At 44.5% G+C, this 4,350-nt stretch overlaps 1 annotated feature.

Annotated features, from left to right (window-relative positions):
- Positions 411 to 1,610: an enhancer, noted in NCBI's record as "BRD4-independent group 4 enhancer chr14:52674645-52675844 (GRCh37/hg19 assembly coordinates)". NCBI's record gives its function as "activates an origin of replication core promoter dependent on BRD2, P300/CBP, MED14 and CDK7 cofactors, and independent of BRD4, by STARR-seq in HCT116 cells {active_cell/tissue: HCT116}" and the evidence as "EXISTENCE:reporter gene assay evidence [ECO:0000049][PMID:35650434]".

Raw genomic sequence — 4,350 nt, 5'->3', positions numbered from 1 at the left:
TTCCATCACTGAAACCCTTTCTTCCATTTGATCGAATCAGTTACTGAAGCTTGTGCATTCGTCACGCAGTTCTCGTGCCATGGTTTTCAGCTCCATCAGGTCATTTAAGGACTTCTCTACATTGGTTATTCTAGTTAGCCATTCATCTAATCTTTTTTCAAGGTTTTTAACTTCTTTGCCATGGGTTCAAACTTCCTCCTTTAGCTCAGAGAAGTTTGATCATCTGAAGCCTTCTTCTCTCAACTCGTCAGAGTCATTCTCCATCCAGTTTTGTTCCTTTGCTGGCGAGGAGCTGCGTTCCTTTGGAGGAGGAGAGGCACTCTGATTTTTAGAATTTTCAGTTTTTCTGCTCTGTTATTTCCCCATCTTTGTGGTTTTATCTACCTTTGGTCTTTGACGATGGTGACATACAGATGGGGTTTTGGTGTGGATGTCCTTTCTGTTTGTTAGTTTTCCTTCTAACAGTCAGGACCCTCAGCTGCAGGTCTGTTGGAGTTTGCTGGAGGTCCACTCCAGATGCTGTTTGGCTGGGTATCAGCAGCAGAGGCTGCAGAATAGCGAATATTGGTGAACAGCAAATGTTGCTGCCTGATCGTTCTCTGGAAGTTTCGTCTCAGAGGGGTACCCGGCTGTGTGAGGTGTCAGTCTGCCCCTACTGGGGGTGCCTCCCAGTTAGGCAACTCGGGGGTCAGGGACCCACTCGAGGAGGCAGTCTGTCCGTTCTCAGATCTCAAGCTGATCCTGCTGGGAGAACCGCTACTGTCTTCCAAGCTGTCAGAGGTTTCTGCTGCCTTTTGTTCGGCTATGCCCTGCCTCCAGAGGTGGAGTCTACAGAGGCAGGCAGGCCTCCTTGAGCTGCTGTGGGCTCCACCCAGTTTGAACTTCCCGGCCGCTTTGTTTACCTACTGAAGCCTCAGCAATGGCGGGTGCCCCTTCCCCAACCTCACTGCCACCTTGCAGTTTGATCTCAGACTGCAGTGCTAGCAATGAGTGAGGCTCCGTGGGCATGGGACCCTCTGAGACAGGTGCGGGATATAATCTCCTGGTGTGCTGTTTGCTAAGACTGTTGGAAATGCTGAGTATTAGGGTGAGAGTGACCCAATTTTCCAGGTGCTGTCTGTCACCCCTTTCCTTGGCTAAGAAAGGGAATTCCCTGACCCCCTGCACTTCCTAGGTGAGGCGATGACTCACCCTGCTTTGGCTCACGCTCGGTGTGCTGCACCCACTGTCCTGCACCTACTGTCTGACAAACCCCAGTGAGATGAACCCGGTACCTTAGCTGGAAATGCTGAAATCATCCATCTTCTGCATCGTTCATGCTGGGAGCTGTAGACTGCAGCTGTTCCTATTCGGCCATCTTGGAACCGGGGAGCAACATGCCACATTTTATGTATCCATTCCCTTCACAATGCATATTGTGTTTTCATTTTTTTTTTGTCATTATAAGCAATGCTACATTTTGGAATTAATTTCTCCTTTAACAATGAAACAGGTATTTCCAGAGCTAGAAAAATAATAAACTATAATTCTGGTTTTTTGTGCAATCTATGATAAAGGACTAAAATGCCTCTAAATTTAAATTTAAATTGTGTATGAGTTAAATTTGTCTAGGTCTCACAAGTTTGTTAATTTTAGGTTAAGTTTGCTTATCTTGGTAGAATTCTCTACTACATAAAAGTGTAGCTTTGAGAGCCAAAATGCTTGGGTTCAAATTTTGTCTCAGTCTCTGATTAGCTGAGGCTCATTGGCCAGTTGGAAAATTCTTTCCCTTTCTAGTATGTAGCTAATGCATGAACTCAGGGCAGTCTTCATTGGCTATCAGCACCTTTGGACATTCTTCCAGTGTTTGGGCAAGAGGGTCCCTATCTGAGACCCTACTTCCTACTAAGTAGCTGGGGAACAGATATGGACCCTGGGATCAGTCAATCATTTGCCAGAGCTGGAATTCTAAAGAAATGGAATCCATTCTAGCAAGGTTCAGGGAGGCTGTATCCCGCTTTTAGAGGCAGTGAAGTTGTAGGTTCCTAAGGTGGTGTCCGGGCCCATTGTCCAGTATCAATAGTCTTGGTGATGCAAGCAGCAGTGTCTGTGGTGGTAGCATCAGTGGTGAGCTCTGCAGTGTGATTTTGGGCATGGTTCCCAGTGAGGTTGCCTCCAGATCCTGTTTCTCCAGCCTTTGGAGAATCTTTTTTTTTTTTTTGAGACAGAGTCTCGCTGTCATCCAGGCTGGAGTGCAGTGGCGTGATCTCTGCTCACTGCAGGCTCTGCCCCCCAGGTTCACGCCATTCTCCTGCCTCAGCCTCCCGAGCAGCTGGGACTACAGGTGCCCACCACCTCGCCTGGCTAATTTCTTGTATTTTTAGTAGAGACAGGGTTTCACCATGTTAGCCAGGATGGTCTTGATCTCCTGAACTCATGATCCACCCACCTTGGCCTCCCAAAGTGTCCTTTAGAGAATCTTAAACTCCATTCATGAACTATTTTTCTATTTAAACCAATCACTTCTTTTCAGTTGTTTGCAACTAAGACCTCTTTCTAAAAGAGGTCAGATGTCACAGAACACTAGTTGGGTCCTCCCCTTCTGCCTCATTCAGCCTTTTCCTTCTCAGGATGCATTGGCTCTCTGGTGAGTGTGAGCTGGAAGAGTTCAAGTCTGAATTCACATGTCCCTACAAACCCCACTTTTTCTGACATTCATGTCCTGTGGTGATGTCCACTGTGTTAGACTTTCCTTACTTCTTATTTCTTTAAGGAGCACTTATTTTTCCCTTCTGGCTTCTGTGACCCCTCCCAACCCCAGCCACTACACTAGACATATCATGTATTATTTGAATATCAATAGTCTAATTGTGGAGAGAGATGATTAGATTGTTTTGCAGTAGGGTTTCTAGGCTCCAGAGAAATCAGAAGCACTTAGATTCTTGTTTAACTCTATTTGAGCAACCCATGGTCATTAAGGAGGCTTTTATTAGAGGTCACTGTGACCATGGAATCTAGAGTTTACTCATAGCCAGCCCTTTCCCTATGATCTCTAAGGGAGGTCAATGTACAGGAATAATGGTGAGAAAAGGAAAGTCTCATTCTAATTTTTGTTGTGGCTCAGACTCTCATCCCTATTTTAAGAGGGCCTGGTAAGGTGGGTTCTGCTTTATGGAGCCCTCCTTTTTCTGTAAGCCACTTAGACCGTATGGCTTCAGACCAAGGAAGCTGTAAGTTCAGATTTCTTTCTCTCACTCATCACTTCCTCCTCCCCCATCCCCCTAACATGTCACCCAGGACACATCCTGATCTTAGAGCTCTCATTAGAGACTGACCTAACACACACCTGTCAGGACCTGGCTGGAAGACACCACAGAGGGACATGACATGAATGTGCTTTCCCTCAGCCACAACTGGGGCTACAACTGGGGTCTAGTCCTGGCCCAGCCAGGTGGAAGGAGGGACAAGAGGAAATAATATATTCCCTTGTATGTTGTAACAGATTCTGGCTTAGAACTCCAGCAGAGAAGAAAAAGGAGTTGAAAGAAAGAAAGCCCTATCTTTTTTTTTTTCTTAATTTAACTTTTATTTTAAGTTCAGGGGTACATGGGCAGGTTTGTTATATAGGAAACTTATGTCATGGGGGTTTGTTGTACAGATTATTTCATTACCCAGATATTAAGCCTTTTACCCATTAGTTATTTTTCCTGATCCTCTCCCTCCTCTCATCCTCCACTCTCCAATAGGCCCCAGTGTGTGTTATTCCCCTCTATGTGTCCATGTGTTCTCATCGTTTAGCTCCCACTTATAAGTGTGAACATGCTGTTTTCTGTTCCTGCATTAGTTTGCTAAGGATAATGGCCTCTAGCTCCATTCATGTTCTTGCAAAGGCCATGATCCCATTCTTTTTTATGGCCGCATAGTATTCCATGGTGTATATGTACCACATTTTCTTTATCCACTCTACCATTGATGGCATTTAGGTTGATTCCATGTTTTTGCTATTGTGAATAGTGCTTCAATGAACATATGCGTGCATGTGTCTTTATGATAGAATGATTTATATTCCTTTGGGTATATACCCAGTAATGAGATTTTTGGGTCAGATGTTATTTCTGTTTTTAGGTCTTTGAGAAATCACCACACTTTTCCACAATGGTTGAACTAATTTACACTTCCACCCACATATTATTTGTTTTCATATTATAGTTCTCACCATCTGGTAGATGTATAAGCATTCCTTTTTCTCCACAACCTCACCAGCATCTGTTATTTTTTTGACTTTTTAGTAATAGCCATTCTGACTGGTGTGAGATGGTATCTCATTGTAGTTTTGATTCACGTTTCTCTAATGATCAGTGATGTTGAGCA

The sequence above is a fragment of the Homo sapiens genome, chromosome 14, assembly GCF_000001405.40.
Source record: "Homo sapiens chromosome 14, GRCh38.p14 Primary Assembly".
In the NCBI taxonomy this organism is placed as follows: Eukaryota; Metazoa; Chordata; class Mammalia; order Primates; family Hominidae; genus Homo; species Homo sapiens.
Note: the sequence above shows the minus strand (reverse complement) of the source record. Positions and strands in the feature narration are given on the sequence as shown.